The sequence below is a fragment of the Homo sapiens genome, chromosome 10, assembly GCF_000001405.40.
Source record: "Homo sapiens chromosome 10, GRCh38.p14 Primary Assembly".
Taxonomy (NCBI): Eukaryota; Metazoa; Chordata; class Mammalia; order Primates; family Hominidae; genus Homo; species Homo sapiens.
In genome coordinates, this window is record NC_000010.11 from 54,228,474 (window position 1) to 54,248,571 (window position 20,098).

The 20,098-nt window shown below is 33.7% G+C and overlaps 1 protein-coding gene across 20 annotated transcripts in view; it reads right to left on the reverse strand.

Moving 5' to 3' along the window:
• PCDH15 (protocadherin related 15) overlaps nucleotides 1-20,098 on the reverse strand; it is a 1,825,172-nt gene that overhangs the window by 425,703 nt on the left and 1,379,371 nt on the right. For all 20 annotated transcript variants that reach the window (XM_047425663.1, NM_001354420.2, NM_001354429.2 and 17 more), the window contains one exon: nucleotides 8,350-8,458. In XM_047425663.1, coding sequence (XP_047281619.1) covers nucleotides 8,350-8,458 — 109 coding nt within the window. The remainder of the gene's footprint in view (nucleotides 1-8,349; nucleotides 8,459-20,098) is intronic.

Here is a 20,098-nt window from a genome sequence, read left to right on the forward strand (position 1 = left end):
ATTTGGGTGGTGACACAGCCAAGCGATATCATTTGTTATGAATGCTAAGAGCATCTACTCTCTGCAAATTAGAGAACCAGAAAAACTGGTGGTGCATTTTTTATCAGGTCCAGAGGCCTAAGAACCAGGGGAGTCATTGGTATAAGTCTCAGAATCTGAAAGCCTGAGAACTAAGCACTGTAATGTTTGATGGCAGGAGAAGATGGACGTTCCAGTTCAAGAAGAGAGAACTCATCCTTCCTCTGCCTTTTTGTTCTATTCAGGCCCTCAATGGACTGGATGATACCTGCCCATATTGGTAAGAGCAGATCTTCTTCACTCAGTCTTCTGATTCAAATATTAGTCTCTTTTTGAAACACTCTCTTAGACAGACCCAGAAATAATGTTTTACCAGCTCTTTCTACATGCCTTAAATCAGTCAAGCTGTCAAATAAAATTAAGCATCACAAGCAGCCTTCTCTCTTGTCTGTTTGCTTTCAACACATTGCAGTGACTTTTAGTTTACATTTGGCCAGTTAAAGGGATCTGTATTTTATAATATTAATTTTACACCAAACTAATGCTCAAAAAAATGAATAAATAGCTGAGAAATATCTCTGCAAATAAACCTGAGATTAAAGGTAACACTAATGATATGTGTAGAAGTGAACACCAACAGAGATGGAAAAATCCCTTCCCATTCCTCTGCTAAAACAGCTTAATCAGTCATGTTATTAGGTCAAAACCGTGGAGATCCAGGCAGACCGGAAATAAAGTCAGACTGACAATTTTGATGTAATTAATACAATTATTTATAATGTTGACTTATATATAATACAATTAATCATTTTCTATGTGATATATGAACATTGAAAATTTAATGACTGATAAAATACATGTATAATTCTTAAATATTAGAGTGTGTACTCAAAAATATTTTTTAATTCATGGGATGAAGGATCATAAAAGTTATGTATTCATTATAAAATGTAGCTATCATTAACTAAATGATATGGTTTTGGCTGTGTCCCCACCCAAATCTCATCTTGAATTGTAACTCCCACAGTTTCTGAATCTCATGGGAGGAAGCTTGTGGGAGGTAATTGAATCATGAAGGCGGGTCTTTCCTGTACTCTTCTCGTGAAAGTGAATAAGTCTCACAAGATCTGATGGTATTAAAAGTGGGAGTTTCCTTCACAAGCTCTCTTTTCTTATATTTTGCCATGTGAGACATGCCGTTCACCTTCCGCCATGATTGTGAGGCCTTCCTGAACATGTGGAACTGTAAATCCATTAAACCTCTTTCTTTTGTAAATTATGTAGTCTCAGGTATGTCTTTATCAGCAGCATGAAAACGGAATAATATACTAACATACACACACAATCTTGCCTAAAGTTATTTATGTCTTAAAGTTCAGAGCTCCACTTTATGAACCCTCTCATCTCCTTGAATTACTTGAATTAGATCAAAGATGGAAAACATTTTTTGTTTCCTAACAAGTAAAATAATCTTTTTTTCCCCTCACCTTAAATCTGGGCAGGAATTGTCCTTGCTTTGACCAGTATATGATAGTAGATTATTTCTACTGATTCAGTTCTGGGATCAGGCCTTCAGAAGTTTGATAGCTTTCACTTTTGCCTTCTTAAAAGGCAGGCATACATGCAATTAAATGGACTATTTTAAATAAATTCTATAAAGAACATTTTCTTTAAAAAATAATTTCCAAAATGTAGAAGTACATTAAAATTAGAAGAAGCATTCTAGAGAATGGTAAGGCATGAGGAAAAATACACCTTGGGGGATATATTTAAGGTTATATAATGTTTGAAAAAACCACATGTGCTCAGCTATAAGTGTTCAGTTATAAGAACCCAGTTGTGTAGCACAAGGATCATGAAACAAAAGAAAATATAAACAAAAAATAAGAAAACAAAAAAGGAAACAGAAAAATATGGACTCTCTGATAACTGTGAAATATGAAATACAAAATGAAATATGGTAACTGTGAAATATGAAATACACAATAGAAGAAATGTTGGGCCCATGAACATTTTCATCCCTTCTCAATGTGATATATGCATTGAGGAAGGGACAAAAAATGTGTTTTTCTCTTCACATTTCCAATATGAGTATACTGTATACTTGGCCATGAAAGTGCTAATACTTGATAATACCTACCACAGTTAATGAAGGTTGATAAAAAAATTTAAACCAAGGTTTCTGGCTCTAGTATCTCCATTCTTAATCAATGGGTGACACCAACATTTTAGTTGCCAGAATATTCATAATATTATTATAATCATACTTTGAAAAATTAGAAAAAATACTGTTAGCAATATTATATTTATGTTTTAGTATGTAACATATATCTCATCTATATGATATTTAATACATATTACTTTTCACACATTAGCTGCTCATATAAGAGTACTTAATACTACAAGCTACTGTTACAAGCTAAAGTCAGCAGACTTTCTTATATTATTAGAAATAAATACACATTGTATGATATCATTATTAATGACAGTGCTGCAACAGAGCTTGATAGCTGTTAACATTTACATTAAAAATGGTCAGACTTGATAACACAATTAGAAGCAGAAATTTCAGCTACATATATGATTAAGGGGTCTACAGATTATGCTTTTCTTTCAGAGACCTTCATGGCAGGTTTCTCCACCATAGGCCTTGAGACTTAGGAGGAAAGAATGGTTTTGTGGGCCAGGACCACGGCTCCACTGCCCTGTGCAACCTCAGGACACTGCTTCCTGCATCCAGCCATTCCAGCTCTAGCCATGGCTACATGGCCCCCAGATATGCCTCAGGCCTCTGCTTCAGAGCATGCAAGCCATAGCCTTGGCAGCTTCCATGTGATGTTAAACCTGTGGACACACAGAGGGCAATGGTTGAGGCTTGGAAGCCTCCACTTACATTTCAAAGGATGTATGGAAATGTCTGGATGTCCAGGCAGAAATCTGCTGCAGGGGTGGAGCCCTCATGGAACACCTCTACCAGGGCAGTGTGGAAGGGAAATGTGAGGTGGGAGCCCCCACACAGAGTTCCCACTGGGGCACTGCCTATTGGAGCTGTGAGAAGAAGGCAACTATTCTCCAGACCCCAGAATGGTAGATCCACTGACAGCTTGCAATGTGCACCTGGAAAAGGCACAAGCACCAAACACCAGCCCATGAAATCAGCCAATGGGGCTGTACTGTGCAAAGCCACAGAGGCAGAAATACCCAAGGCCTTGGGAGCCCACCCCCTGCATCAGTGTGGCCTGGATATGAGACATGAAGTCAAAGGAGATTATTTTGGAGATTTAAGATTTAATGACTGCCCTCCTGGGTTTTGGACTTCCATGGGGACTGTAGACCCTTTGCTTTGGCTGATTTCTCCTTTTTTGGAATGGGTGTATTCACCCAAAGCCTGTACCCCCATTGTATCTTGTAAGTTTTTTCAGGCTCATAGGCGGAAGGGACTTGCCTTGTCTCAGATGAGATTTTGGACTGTGGACTTCTCAGTTAATTCTGAAATCAGTTAAGACTTGGGGAACTGTTGAGAAAGGATGATTGTATTTTGCAATGTGAGAATGACATGAGATTTCAGAGGAACCAGGGGTTTCATGATATGGTTTGGATTTGTTTCCCCACCCAAATCTCATGTTAAATTGTAATCTCCAATGTAGGAGGAGGGACCTGGTAGGAGGTCATTGAATAATGGGGGGAAATTTCCCCCTTGCTGTTCTGGTGACAGTGGTGTCAGTGAGTGAGTTCTCATGAGATCTGGTTGTTTAAAAGTGTGTAGTACCACCCCTTCTCTCTCCTGCTCTGGCCACGTAAGATGCGCCAACTTCCCCTTCAGCCATGATTGAAAGTTTCCTGAGGCTTCTCCAGCCATGCTTCTTGTACAGCCTGTAGAACTGTGAGCCACTTAAACCTATTTTTATTTATAAATCACCCAGTAACAGGTAGTTATTTATAGCAGTGCAAGAACAGACTAACACAGAAGAGGTATTAAATATTCTCTAATGGTAGAATTTACCAGTAAAGCATCTGATCCAGAATTCTTCTTTGTGGGAAGATCTTTTTGATTACTAAGTCAGTCTATTAACTTGTTAAAAGTCTACCCCAATTTTTTATTTTTTCTGAAGTCAGTTTGAATAGTTTGATTCCAGGAATTTGTCCATTGCATCCATTTGTCTAGTTGGCATAAATTGTATATAATATTCCCTCATAACATTTTTTTATTTCTCTAAGCTAAATAGAAGGTCCTCTCTTTCATTCCAAGTTAGTAAATTGCATCTTATCTCTTTTATTCCTGGTCAGTCTAGCTAGAGGTTTGTTAATTTTGTTGATGATTTCAAAGAATTGATTTTGGCTTCATTTATTATCTCTACTGATTTCCTAATCCCTCTTTTATTACTTTCCACTGTAGTCTCTATTATTTCTATTGTGTTGTTTAGCTTTCTTTCTTTTTTTTTTTTTTTTTTTTTAAAGAGAGTCACCTCCAATCTCCTCCATCACTCAGGCTGGAGTAAAATGATGTGATCGTAGCTCACTGCAGCCCTGCAGCCTTGACTTCCCAGACCCAGGTGATTCTCCCACCTTAGCCTCCTGAGTAGCTGAGGCCACAGGTGCACACCACTATGCCCAGCTAATTCTTGTATTTTTTGTAGAGACAGGGTTTCGCCATATTGCCCAGGCTGGTCTCAAACTCCAGGTCTCAAGCAATCCAACTGTCTCGGCCTCCCAAAATGTTGGAATTACATGTGTGAGTCACCACAGATGGCCTCCCTTCTGCTCTTTTTCTTTAGTTTGCTTAACATTTCCAGTGTCTTTGTGACAAATATTACATTATTGATTAGAGATTAAAATACATGTTACAAAGTATTGTTATTTTTATTTGTCTCAAAGTATTTTTCTGATTTTATTTCTTCCATGAGTCATTGATTAAAGAATGTTTAACTTCCATACACTTGTGAATTTCCAAAATTTCCTTCATTATAATTTCTAATTGCATTCCATTTTTGTCAGAGAATAGAGTTTGTATTATTTCAATCATCTTCAATTTAACGATATTGGTTTTATGGCCTAACATGATCTATACTGAAGAACATTCTAGGTGCACTTGAGAAGAATGTGTATTCTGCTGTTAGGGGGTAGAGTGTTTTGTAGATATCTTTTAGGTCTAGCTGCTTTATGGAGTTGTTCCATCTTGACCTTAAGTTACTGCATTTGCAGAGTTTCAAGGTTAGTCAGAGATGAGAGCTTAGGGCCTTCCCAAGTGCTTCCTGAGTATATATACAGCTTGCTTTTATCTTTTTAGAATCCCAGAAATATGTTAAACTTTTTAAAACTCCCTATGAACATCATTATCTAGCTTTTCCTTTAAAGACTTTTGGCTAGTCAATAATTCTGCCATTGATGTTCATGACAGTAGAACCATTGAAGAGGTTGACAACAGCCCTTGGATGACCTCGTCATAGACATCAGCATCCGTATCCTCACATATAGTAAACAGAGACTGTCTATAACAAATGGAAGCAGGAGAGGAGTCGTCCATGTGGTAATTTACTGTTAGCTTGGAGAAACACATATATTCAGAAGTATTTGTATGGATTTAGGGAAAATTAAGAGTTTTGACAAAGTACGTGAAGTCAGAGTCATGGATATCCCCTTCTGTGTGTGTGTGTGTGTGTGTGTGTGTGTGTGTGTGTGTGTGTGCTGTGTCTGGTTTTTGTTTTTGTGTTTCCATTTGTACCAGACTGATGTGACTTAGGTAACATGCCTTATTTTCCTTCCTAATGCTAATAACAATGTCAACTAAAATGTATTGAGCATTAACTTTTTTTCCAGGCAGCATTATGTACATTTACAATGTATTGGATCAAATTCTCACAACCCTTTTGTACAAAGATCTATTTTTGTTAATCCTATATTAAAGAAGAATAATCTGGTCAGGTAGTGGCTCACGCCTGTAATCCCAGAACTTAGGGAGGCTAAGGTGGGAGGATCGCTTGAACCCAGGAAGTCGAAGCTTCAATGAGCTATGATTGTGCCGCTGCACTCCAGTGCGGGTGACAGAGCAAGACACTGTCTCAAAAGAAGAAAATAAGAAGGACTAATTTCAGGTAAAGGGGGGCTAAATAACTTAAATAAAATTATGTCTAGTGTGAGTTAAAGTCAGGATTTTTAACATGGACAGTACAATTTCCAGAGGCTACACTCTCAACCCCTACAATTCTCTTCCTTCTAAAAATGTAAATAGTGTAAAAGGATATTATTCATTTACCTTAGCTGTGACAGCAAATAATTGTAAGAGTTTATATCTATTGTTTGGGACAATCCACTATCCTACGGTTGTAGGCTGATGAAACTTTCCATCACTGTGTCACTTTTCTGTTAAAATTTTTTAATTGGCTCCTCATTTCACTCAGAGAAAAATACAAAGTAGATAAATAACATACAAGGCTCTCTAGTTTCTGCTCTGTTCTTATCTGTCACCTTTCTACTTTTACCTCACTCACTTCTTTCCAGTACTTCCGGCCCCCTTGTTGTTTCTGAAACCCACCTGGCAAGCTTCAGTTTTGATCTCTGCCTAGAACTCTTCCCGGAGATATCAACGAGAATAACTTCCTCAGCTTCTGTAAGCCTTTGCTAACAGCTTACCTTTTGATGACACAAGTGCTGATGATACTGCTTAACACTGCAACTTCTACTACAATCCTCCTCTGCTTTTCCAATCCCATTCATATGATCGATTTTTCCCATAGCATTCACAACTTTCTAACTTTGATAATAAACACTTACTTATTATAGTAAATGTTTATTGCCTATCTCTTCTGCCAGAAAACTGGCTCCACAAAGTCAGTGATAGGGGTTGCTTCACAGGGTAGGTGATCGTTTGTTGAGAAAAAGAATGCACATAACTTTTAAAAGTGAAATAAACTTGAACACCAATGCATCCAACTGGCTCTGAGTATCATAATTATCCAAGTCTGTTATTAAATTTCATCCTTTGGCTTTTGCACATGCTGCATTATCTATATAGATAATTGTCTCTCTTTTTCCACCTGGAAACTCCTGTCTTTCTGCTAAAATGACACTTCCTAAGCAATTCTCATAAAATGCTTAATGCTCTCCTCTCATGAGCCTACATGTGGTTCAAACTTTATTTAGAGTGCCTTAAATATTGTATTTTAATTTATCTTTTACGTTGTTTTAATGTTTTTTAGCCACAGACTCCACGACTCCCTAACCTAGAACATTCATCTCTCATATTTGTGTTTTTAGCATCTAATAAGAGTGATTGACATACAGTCAAGCCTTCAGTTAATGAAATAAATGATGCTTTATTATCTACACCAAGATCTCTATAGACTTAAAATAGTTTCTGTTTATGAAAGTTTTTTACAAATATAAAAGTCTGAGCTCTGCTTATGATATTTGTGTCTTTATAAAGACCAAAGGCTTGAAACAGAATTGCTTGAATTTTCTTTACAGACAGCATTTCTAAGAAGGATACAGTATGATATTTGCAAATCTAATATCTGTTGGTTGTTGTGTATTTGTATATGCACATAGGCTTCAAGTAAGAGGACAGAAAGGGGTTGAGGGCTAATGCTGAACTCCATTAAAGTTATTTTTCAAGCACACTTCAAAAGAAGCCCTTTCTCCCTTAAAAGATATATAGCCTGTCTCACATGCATCTGTCTGTCTAGAGGCTATGCAAATCAGCAACATCCATATTTCAGCAAAAGCAATCTAAGAAGAGCAGCATAATCAATTTCTCATCATTTTTGCTTTTGACACAATTAGTAGTATATGCATAGGGATGGATTAGGATGGTTTCTGTGGAATTTTTCAAGAAAAATATTTACCAAAGGTTAATATTTCGTGTTCCCTTGGGCTAATCGTGCTCTCTCACCTTTTTTTTTTAAATGGCTCCAAAATAGCTCTTTTTAAATTCAGTCATATATTATCACAATTATGTATAGTAACCAACCAAAGGTAAAACACGTGTAAAATGTTTTTCATTTTATATTAAAGCTGAAAGTTGGTGCTAGAGGAAGTTTTATATGATAAGTTGATATGTAGAAAAATACTAATATGTAGGTTAATTTCCTAATATTTTGAATTGCTTTGCTTCTTCCATAAAAGTTATTCATTTATCATTCTACACATTTCAGTCCAACAAATTGAGGAAGCAAATATCTTGAATTATTATTTTTAAAATGTGTTTATACACAAAAGTAACAATCATGTCAAATAATAAACTTTGTTATTTAAAATATTTCCTTGGAATTGAGAGAATTTGTTACTGTAAGATTCTAGAATAACTGATAGTGTAAAATGTTATCAGATACAAACCAACAAGGATGGAATAGAGGATTCCTGGCCTATCTGATGGCGGTTGAATATTCCGGTCCTGATCAATGGCTTGGATTGGTGGCGTAACAATAATGGGGTTCAGTTCTTCCTGAAAAAAAAATTAAGAGAGTTTCATTCAGCCGCATTACTAATACTTCATGAAGGATTGAGACAGATGCTTTAGTTTGGAAATCTATATAACGTCTGAGACAGTAAACTCAAGTTTCAACATTTATGATCTAATACCTTTTACTAGTTAATTTTGAATGTTAAGGGGGAGCAAAGTATTCTCAAAGTCAAAATGGTAAGACATAGTGATTATGCACATAGACATTTATATCAGTAACTACTCCTAAAAGGAAATCAAGGAAGAATGATAATGCACTTTTAATCTTCTCTAGAGGATTTCACAAAAGAAATAGCAGCCTATCAAATAGTTTATGAAGTAATGTTTTCTCTTTGCTTTAGACAAGATTTGTAAGAATACTTGTATTCTTTCCTTGCTAAATCATTTTTTAGTTTCATACACATCAATTATATTAAAATATAAATAAAGTAAATAATTTCATAAAAATAAAAGTCACATTATTGCAAATTTCATATAATTAAAATTGATTTTAAATATTGCAGGTATTTACATGTATTTTACAATGGTCTATAAGAAATAATGTTTAAAATTATAATATACTTCTTTAATTTGGTGTTTCCCAATTTAATGTCCAGTACTATTTTGTTGTGCTATCAGGACTGGCAAACATTTTTCTGTAAAGAACCAGATAATAACTATCTTTAGGCTTTGCCAACCATATGGTCTATGTTGCAGCTACCCTCAACTCTGTCATTACAGCACCAAAGCCCAAGTGGGCATGGCTCTGTTGCAATAAAACATTACAAAAACAGGTGGTAAGTTATATGAGGTTACTGACTACTGTGATCATAATAGATATGCTAAAAATACAACAATAGGTATGTTGAAAAATAATAAAAAGCTTATCTACACAGATATGCTTGGGAAATATGATATTAAATACAGTTTTGAAAGCCAATTAACTGTACTGCAAATCTTTTCAGACTTAATTATGCTAATCTGCATACTGACTTTCTAAGAAAAGGGTACTATTTGCTCACTTTCAAGAAACACCCATTAACCTGTTTTTGAAATGATGCCTTTAGAACACAGTTTGGGAAACACTACTCTAAGTTATGTAGCCCTCATCCCAAATATGTAAGTGGTAATTCTAAATGAAATACTTCTAAAGGGTAATTCTAAAGGGAAATTCCATTACATATTTGGGCTGAGGGCTGTGAAACTTAAACTACTGTTTCCCAAACATTTAGTATGTCTCAATATCTACAACCTTACATTCTAAAAAATTACTGCAATGTTCTCATATTATTTCTTCTCAAATGACAGAACATTGAAATATGTAATGTACTTTTATACAAAACCAGTAGTTTCAGTTCTCAGCAAAAATGTATAGTGATGGCATGCTAAAAAAAGAGCAATGATATTAAAACATTATGTATAATACTTGATTTTATATTGAAGTTATAATAAGGATAATTATTGACCAATAATTTAAACACCATAGACATTGTATGGGGTTTCTCTCGAGTTCATTATCACTAATAGGTCCTAAGTAGTCTAAATGTTATCAGTATTTTCCTGAAAATAAAGAGTTGTTGGTAGTAGCAACTTACTAATACTCTATTCTCTCCTTTAAACGTGGAATCAGAACCACGAAAATACCAAATAAATATCAAAATTACTCCATTAAATCCAGAAGATTATTGTTCTTAAAACGCAACTCTCACTGAACTTTTCCTCCCATGCTGCCTCTCTCTCTCTCTCTCTCACACACACACACACACACACACACACACACACACACTTTCCCAATAATCAATTTGCTTGGTATGCAATACCTGTATTTCTCCCTAAACTGAAAAAAAAATCTGAAGTTCTTTGAAATATGTATGTTTGAGCACAGGACTTAAGAGTTGACAAGCTCTTTCTAGTAATTTCACTGAGGAATCTGATTGCCATCAGCCAAAGTCAGCTTATACTTAAGCTGTATCACTCCTGGTTCATATAATTAAATCTGCAGTAATTTTTCCAAAACCGAGGCTCTATTTGGATCCTGTAAAGGCATTTCAAATCTGAGGATTTTCTGCAGTTCCATTCTGCATCTCATAGTCAGAAAAATATTTTCCTAAACAATTTTTGCTATTATAAAATAAGTAATTTCTTATCTAGAAATTAAAATAAAATTGAATCTTAGCTTTTCGTTTGGAATGTAAAATGTAAGCAAATCACAATATTTGAGGATATGTTGGCTGATCACCTTCATCTATTTATTTCTATAGATTTGCTAAGTTACCTACACATAAGCAGTTTTAGCTTTAATTAGTAATGTAGTATAAAATATTCTTTCTATAATATATAGAATTGTTGAAATGAGCAACATAATTTATTTACATTGAATTGTTGTATAAGCAATGTAAAAACTAAAAGTAACACATCAAACAAAACCAAGAGGAAGGGAGAAATGAAAATTAAATTCCTCATCTTACACATTTGCCTGTGATTAAATATATATATATATATATAGAGTAAGAACTGAAGAACTAAAAAGAAACAAGTGTAGTATTTAGAATTATATTAATAATTAGAAGATGAAAAACTGTGAGTATCTCAGGATACTGAGCATGGAAGTGAGGGTAGATGGGATAGAAAATATTTTACATAAAGCCATTTGGTACTGTGTGACTATGTCATTACCATAGCCCGTACTATTTGTTTTAACATTATTAATAAATAAATTATAGTATTGAGAATAAAAGAAAATAAACTCTCTTGATAAAGGCTTTCACAAGTTTCTGCAAATTTAAAAGAAATGGTGTGGTTTAAATAACTTATCAGAATTGACATTTTATCTTGTCCTATAGAGACTAGCAACTTATTTTACAATATTTATTTTTCCTTCTGCTACCATAAATGAAATTGTCAGATAATCTAGGATTAAAGGTGAAAAGAATGATTTCTTAACTATTATGTGTATGATTACCTCTCAAGTAAACTGTGCTCCATGAAGCTTGAAATGTTTAAATATTATTAATACATGACATTAAAGAATACTAAAAATTATGATTTTTAGGATGACCTTGTTAAATATTTAACATATTTTATAAAGATATGTAGCATTGAAGTCAGAGGCAGACAATTTATATACATTAATTAGAAGAAACAACATAAATAACATGCATTATGTTTGAACTTCTGTCTGCCAACACAACCTCCACAGTAGATGAAACCAGGCCTGGAAAGGGTATTCATATAAGCAAGAACAACCCAGATTGAAATGGTTCCTTAGAATAAGTGAGAATTTTACAGAGAGAACAGAAGTAAAATAATAATAATAATATGTACGTATTCAGTTCAAGTATTTTTTTTTAACAACAGGGTAAATCCAAAGAAAACTGAGTAAAAATAAAATGAAAAAGGAAAAAAAAAAGTAGTATATAGTAGTAAAGTATCCAATGCTGATGAACAAAGGAAACAGATAAAAGAAATAGTCTTTGATTACCAAGTGCCAGCATATTACTGTCCTTGAATTTATTGAAAAATAGTATCCTTATAATGAACCTCTTTTTCCCTAAGTTAGTTTCAGGTCAGTTCTCTGACTTTAAACCTAGAGTACCAATCTAATAAAGGGCTAAAGATAAGAGAATAACAGATGGTGTGTTGGCTCTCTTAGAGACATTTACTTAAACTTCTAAATTCTGTTATTTATTTTCTTTTGCTTTTTTTTTTTTTTTTTTTTTTTGAGACAGAGTATCGCTCTGTTGCCCAGGCTGGAGTGCAGTGGCGCGATCCCGGCTCACTGCAAGCTCCGCCTCCCGGGTTCACGCCATTCTCCTGCCTCAGCCTCCCGAGTAGCTGGGACTACAGGCGCCCGCCACCACGCCCGGCTAATATTTTGTATTTTTAGGAGAGACGGGGTTTCACCGTGTTGGCCAGGATGGTCTGGATCTCTTGACCTCGTGATTCACCCGCCTTGGCCTCCCAAAGTGCTGGGATTACAGGAGTGAGCCACCGCGCCTGGCCAATTCTGTTATTTTCATTGAACACAGTTACAGCTCTATGAAGAGAACAGAATTATTCTTGCCCATGAATTGAAATAATGTAATCATTTACAGGATTTAGCAAATAGCAGATATTTAACATAATTTTGCCAACTTATTCTGTTGAGTTATCCAAAGAGATCACTACTCTCTGGTCAACTTTGTAATATCCACTAGCAGAAAATAGTCCATCTGTGGCTACTGCCAGGTCTTCCACAGTTCCAAAAAGGAGATTGATTCAGTGACTTGTTTCTTCTGAAGAACAGAGTCTCTTCACATAGACAATAATTGCTGTTGCTTATTCTCTGTCGTCCTCATTTCTCCTAGTTTTTGACTTTACTGCCTATATTACAGAGGAAGTACGGTATGTGTTGAAGAAATTAGAAGTCCACCCATAGCTCAAATATGCTTGGGTATCCTTTATGGAAAGTATCAAAATGTTCCTCTATTTTATTACAATTGCTATATTTATCTTTTTGCCAAAAGCTTTATTGGTCTGTGGGCAGAAATTATCTTATTTGTACTTACAACCCTCAGCCTAGTGCCTCACAGATTTCAACAAATTTTTGTTATCAAGTCAAGAAACACAGAAAGAGCTCCCCAAACCCTGGATGGTTCTTTTATACTTTGCCTCTGAAGCAAAGCTGCTTTCTTTGCTGTCTCATTTGTCTTCAAGAAGAGGTCATGTCTCCTGAATTCTGTTCCAGTTGATAAGCATATATTAGAAGCACACAGGATAGCAGATTTGCATTTCATTGCTGTTTGAACTGTCAGAGCTACATTCCCTGTCTTAGTCATGGGGACACATAAGTAAAGTGAATTAGGTCCATATAAAGAGATTCATAATGAGAAGGTAATCATAGAAACGATTAAACAATAACAAAAAAAGTCTTCTGTGAAAATACTGTGTAATTATATGGTTTAAGAACCTTAAAATTATTATTTTAATTTTAAGAACCTTAAAATTATTCTATTTTGAATACATGCTTCCTATTCATTAGCTTTTCTGGAGACACACCTTCTCTTTTGAGCAATGTTAAGACAATGTTTTCATGCAGAACTGTTGTATTATTCTGAGAGGATAACAGTAGCCAATTAACATTTGATGTGAGTGAGGGTTAATTATGCCTCATGAAACCTCACTACCAGATTGAAAATGAACTTTTGGTCTGAATTCTATTTTTATATATATATATATATATATATATATATATATATATATATATATATATATATATATACACACACACACATACATACATACACATAATCATTAATAAAAATATATTAGCAAGCAATCCCAAAAGATTAAGAAGCCTTTTTGTAGATTTAATAAAATCTCAGCTTTCTGGTCATTTAGGTGTTCATATGGTTATCTTGAACAAAAGGTATATTCAAGAGAAACACTCAGATTTCAGAGATTGGATACATTCACTGTTTAGCTTATATCAGGTTAACAGAAGTCATGATCCATAGAACAATAAGATTTAACCTATTATATCATCCCTAATGTTAAATGCATACATGATGCCTATGATTTTCACTGTTTCATGCATGGGTAGGTTGTCTTTAAAATAATATGAAACCAGTTCTTACTTTTAAAATACTTCTCACTTCACCAATGAAAAATAATATCTATCATTTACACAAGTTGATGGGTCAGTAAACTTAAAAAAATGACATTTCGCAGACTGATTATTAAAGCTTCCAGCCTTGGTTGAGATAGACATAATAGAAGCATTGTTAAAATACTAAATATTCTCAACTTGGCATTTGAATGATGTCTTCATCTGAGTAACGTATACATAGTAGTATACTGAATGTGCCCAAGTATTTCAAATTAACTGAAGGCATTATAATTATCTTCAAGAAAGAATATGTTCTGATACATCCCTGGAAAGGTAATCTGAGCTCATATAAGTACACAGTTTGCTGTTATAAAAGCCAAACTTTGATGTATTATATAATATTCCACTTATCATTGCTTAGATCTTTACACTGTATTTTAATCAAGTAATAACATCATAGTATTTGGAGAAAGGTTATGCTAAAATAGTAAAAATATGCTGTAAGTATTCCAAGACCAATAATTAAGTGATTTGAAATCTTAGTAACTATATAATTTAATACCTAAGTTATTGAATTTATTATTTAGTACTTAATTACTTTCACTAATTTTGTGTGTTCTTTACATTTAAGTAGGTGCTTTTTCAATATCTATTAAAGTCATTAATATTTAATTTGTACACTTCCTTTAACAACAGAAAATTTCTACTACATTTAAGGAAAGTCAGTGTCACGCCTGTAATCCCAGCACTTTGGGAGGCCAAGGCGGGCAGATCACGAGGTCAGGGATCGAGATCATCCTGGCTAACACGGTGAAACCCCTTCTGTACTAAAAATACAAAAATTAGTGGGGCATGGTGGCGGGCGCCTGTAGTCACAGCTACTAGGGAGGCATAGGCAGGAGAATGGCGTGAACCTGGGAGGCGGAGCTTGCAGTGAGCAGAGTTTGTGCCACTGCACTCCAGTCTGGGCGACAGAGCAAGACTCAGCGTCAAAAAAAAAAGTTAGTGAACATTATTAGTCTCATTTCATATTACATTGCAAATGTACTATTTTCCTCAAAGCTCTTGATTATTTTCAGCCAGATTCTTGCTTGTTTCCATGTGTTACTAACATAGAGAATTAGAACAAATCAAAAATTTTCTCAAACACATTCATATAGACATAAATACAATTATATGTTACCTTTAGAGGCCAAACAACCATTTCTGTTTTCACTTTGCTTAGTTTTGCTTTTTTCAAGGGTCAGAAATATCAGATTGTTTGAAAAAGTATCAGACATATCGAAATGTTTTTCCTGGTGAGATTATTTTAAAAAATAGTAACGAATTGGGGTGAGTAGTATGGGCCAAGCCAATTACTTTGAACTTTTTGTATTGTTATGGAAGAAACACAGGTTGAACATTCACAAACCTCTTTGAAACTGATTCACTGCATATATCAAAGTTCCTCAAATGGTTTTGACAATTATTATCCTTAGAACAGAAGAGTGAAGAGCACATTTGAGATAGGTATATAATTATGATTCATGAAAATCATAACAATTCATGCCTGATCACTGGAATTTCGTATCACATATTAAAACAAAAACTCACTTAGCTAACAGAAAATACCCTTGTTTTATTATTTCCATGAGCAAATTTTATGACCCCTCCAATATCATACTCTTTATTCTACCAAGTATGTGTAAATTTACCTTGTATAATGTGACTGAATTTGTTTCCAAAATGTGCATTTCAGTATCCTCTCAATTGCATATTTGAATACTTTTACTGATACTTCCCTTATTTTCAAAATACTTCCTTGAATGTCTTTGTCTTTAAAGTTTGTTTACCTGGGATTATATGCCTCCTTTTCTATGGATCATCAAATGATTTCTAGACAGGCAATAAAAACCTTGGCTGGTGGTAACCCGGTAATTATTTTCCATGAATAAATAATAAAAGCCTGTAACAAAATCTTGTTGGTAACAAAAGGTTGGTGACTTGTTCCACGCTGTCCAAGTGACAAAGTCTGAAGCATTACTGCAATCAAGTTGGCTTTGACTATCAAAAATCGTTTTCCACATAACTCAAACCTGAGAATATGCATTTCACAGATGTTGTAAGGAGGATACATAGATCACAGAAATATTTCTTACAACCCTTTCTCACATTCTTATCCATTTCTATAACAACTATTCTGGTTCCTACTTCTCACACTGCCACAGGGCTAACTCAAAATCTTCTGGTTATTCACCTCCCCTTCATTCCCATCGTGCACATCAAAAATCCTCCAAACGATTTTGACAAGCATGACCCACTCTGGAAGTCAGAGGAAAGGAAGAAATTGAGCAGACAGAGTTTGCTTTACCATGAAGATAAGGAGACAATCTTGGGAGAATTTATTTGTTCATAATTTTAGTCTCATTAAATTTGGATGAATATTTCAATGATAATAATGATATGGTTCCCATTGTGTGCTCTCATCAGGTCAGGAGACGACTGTTTTTGTGATGACTTCAATTCATTGTCAAATCACAATTCTATCTAGGACCTCCTTGTTAGCAGGGACTGTGTGAGCACTCCCTAGGTTTTTCACCCTCAATCTCTCCATATAAGGCCTCCACACTCAATAGGAAGGCAATAAAACAAGGACAACAAATATGAAACATATATAACAAAGTAGGCCTTTTTTATTGATTTGATTTTGGAGAAATAAAATCTGATTTTGCATTATCAGATGCAGTAGTTTGGTAAAAGAACATACATTTTTAATTTAGATAAATGAAGCAAAGTAATGTACAGTTTTCCCAAGTGGTTTTATCATTTTATATTTCTACCGAGTATATGTGTAATAAATGTGAAAGTTCAAATCAATGGGAGAAAATGGATTTTTAATAAAGAATGATTAAATATTGGTTATCAATAAATAGAGAAAAAAATTATGATAGATATTGACTTTACCAAATAAAGCTTTGGAAGATTGCCAGATAAGTCTTTACCAGATACATCTTTGGTCGATTGCTTATGCCAAATAAATTTTTGTAGAACAAAAGTGAATGTATGAGAAAAACACATGTATTAGAAGTCAACATAGTAGAAAATAAGGTAAATGATTACTTAAAAATATTGCAAATGCTTGCTTAGCAATGATTTAAAACAATCCCAAAAATTGGAACTGTTGAAGGCATGAGGAGATGTGGGCTTTTATATCTGTGATGGAAATAAAAAGCAGGTTAAGTTCAAGGAAAAAAAAAATGAAATCTATCACTAGGTTTGACAATATGTATAGTATAGATTAAAGCATTTCAATTTGAGCTTTATCTTACATAAATATTGAGAGATATGCTCGGAGATGTGTTGAGAAGGATATTCATTGTACAATATACAATTTGCTTTTTAAAAGAATAAATTTCTTATTCAAGTACAACCTATGAGATACCTTCATAAATCAATAGTTCACAGTCTGATGAATTATCACAATGTTATAATTATAAATTCCAGGAAAAAAATTGATATTTTCACAAGGTCTGACAATATATGTAGCTTAAACTTCAGGATTGCACTTTGAGCTTCATCTTACATAAATATTGAGAGGGACATACGCTCAGAGATGTGTTGACAAGAATATTCACTGCACAATATATAATGTACTTTTAAAAATAAATTTCTTATTCAAATATAAGTTATGAGATACCTTCCTAAATCATTAGATCACAGTCTGACAAATTATTACAAAGTTATAATTCATTCATGTAATCACACTGTGATCAAGAAATAGAATATTGTCAGTATCTCAGAAAACCACTTATTAAATTATCTACTCATAACTACCCCTACTTCCATCCTAGAGATGGCCTGATTTGTAATATGAAAGATTTGTTTTACCTGTTTTAAATTTTCTATAAATTGAATTACATAGTATAAAACCTTTTATATATGGCTTTTTAATCAATTATTATGTCTTATATGATATGTATGAGTGTAAGATTCTTGCATATAATTAAGTGCAGTACTAGTATACTCATATTAATGGTTATACTATCATCCATTAGATGAATACATCATATTTTATATGTTAGTTTTTTTTCAACTGGCGATGAACTTTGTACTTCTTCTAGGGTATGCTGTGAGGATAATGCTCTTACGAACACTCTTGAGTATGTCTTCTTACTGATATGATTGCATTTGTGTTAAATAGAAGAATAAAGTTGCAGAGTATGTATACATTCTGATAGGCTAGATTACTGTCAGTTTTCTAACGTGGTTGTATGGTTTACATTCTATCACAGAGTAGGAGAATTCTAACTCTTTCACATCTTTACCAATTTCAGTCTCTTAAGATTTTAGCAAAGCCAGTGAATATGTATTATTATCTTATAGTTGCTTTAACTTGAATTTTGATGATGATTAATGGGGTTGAACAACTGTTTGATGATCTTGGACATTTGTAAAGTGCTGTTCCATATCTCTTGCCTATTTTAGTTGAATTGTCTGTTTTCCTTAATGATTCACAAGAGTTCTTCATATATTATAATTAAGTCATTTATCAGCTTAATGTTTTATAAATATTACAATTCTTATGGCTTATATTTAGACCCTATTAGTGTTATCTTGTCAAAGAAAAGTTTCTAATTTTAATATAGTTTTATTTATCCCTTTCTCTTTCCATATATACCTGGCTATTTCCTCTACCTGTACACATATCCTGAATGTATGAAGTATAGACAATAATTTTCCTTATCTATTTCCATAGATAAAATATTGCACTCATCCACATCAGAATTTATGTAAACTGAGTTGGCTTCCCTACAACTTTCTTGAGAGCAAAGTGAAGGTCTATTTTCTTTTATATCTGTAGGACCAGACAGTACATATGGCACACGGAGACTCAAAAACTTTGAATAAAGTGTTTCTTTGTTGTAGATTATTTAGAGTATTTTTAGGCTCATACACACTTGCCTTGCTCTCTGAATTTCTGTAGGACATCTAAATACAAATAATGATGTTTTTTGAGAATCTATTTATAATTTCAATATCTTTGAGCTTCCTAAATTGCTGCATTTAACTACAGGCCAAAATAATCTGGTCATAAGAGTGAATCATATACACATATAGGGGCTCACAGCGCTTCATTGAGATGGCCTTTTGGGGTAGTACAATAAACAATGTCATAAACATTCCAATAGAATGAACGGTGAACTCCTATGTCCTACAACAAAATATGCCAAGCTTGCCAATAAGTAGCAATAAAGCTTTTCGATAAACTAGTCTCTTAGAGCTTGAATTATGATTTTCAAGGTGAGATTAATAATATCTACATTACTTGCACCACTGCACTCCAGCCTGGGTGACAGAGCAAGACTCTTTCTCAAAAAAAAAAAGAAATATGTATATATATATATCTACATTGCATGATTGATGTGAGGATGCATGAAAGAATATATATATATATATATATATATACACATACAGTAAATGACATTCTTAATATGTGGAAATTATTATAGTTAGTTTTTTAAATTGATAATTTTAATGCTTTTAAATTGTGTAATCTGGGTGTTAAAATTGACTCCAAGTTATAAGCTAGGGAGAAAAAAATTTTCATTTGAAACTAGAAGCTTAATTGATACCATGTCTTACACATCTGTCTGAAAATAGGACAGTGATATGAATTTTGAAAGTTTATTTAGAATTCCATAGTTGATCAAATAATTGAGGAAGTAAAAAGGGATTATCTATCTCTGCTATTTAACTTGAAGCCAAGCTTCAAATGAGAAACTTATGAATTAAATTATTTAAAAATCGTACTTAAAAATAAGATAGTCTGCCAGAGAGTTGAATATTCACTTAAAATAGTTATCTTATTTTGATTTATTTAAAGGTAACTTCAGTGAAATTATTTTCTATAGACTAAGACATATCATACTTTTATATCCAATAATAAATTCATTCCCTACATTTTTATTGTAAAGAGTTGAAGTGAAATTTCTTAATTTGTTAACATTCAGATGAATTATATAAATGCATTAAGCAGTTGGCAGGTACCAAGAACTCTACTAACTGCTCAAGCAGTA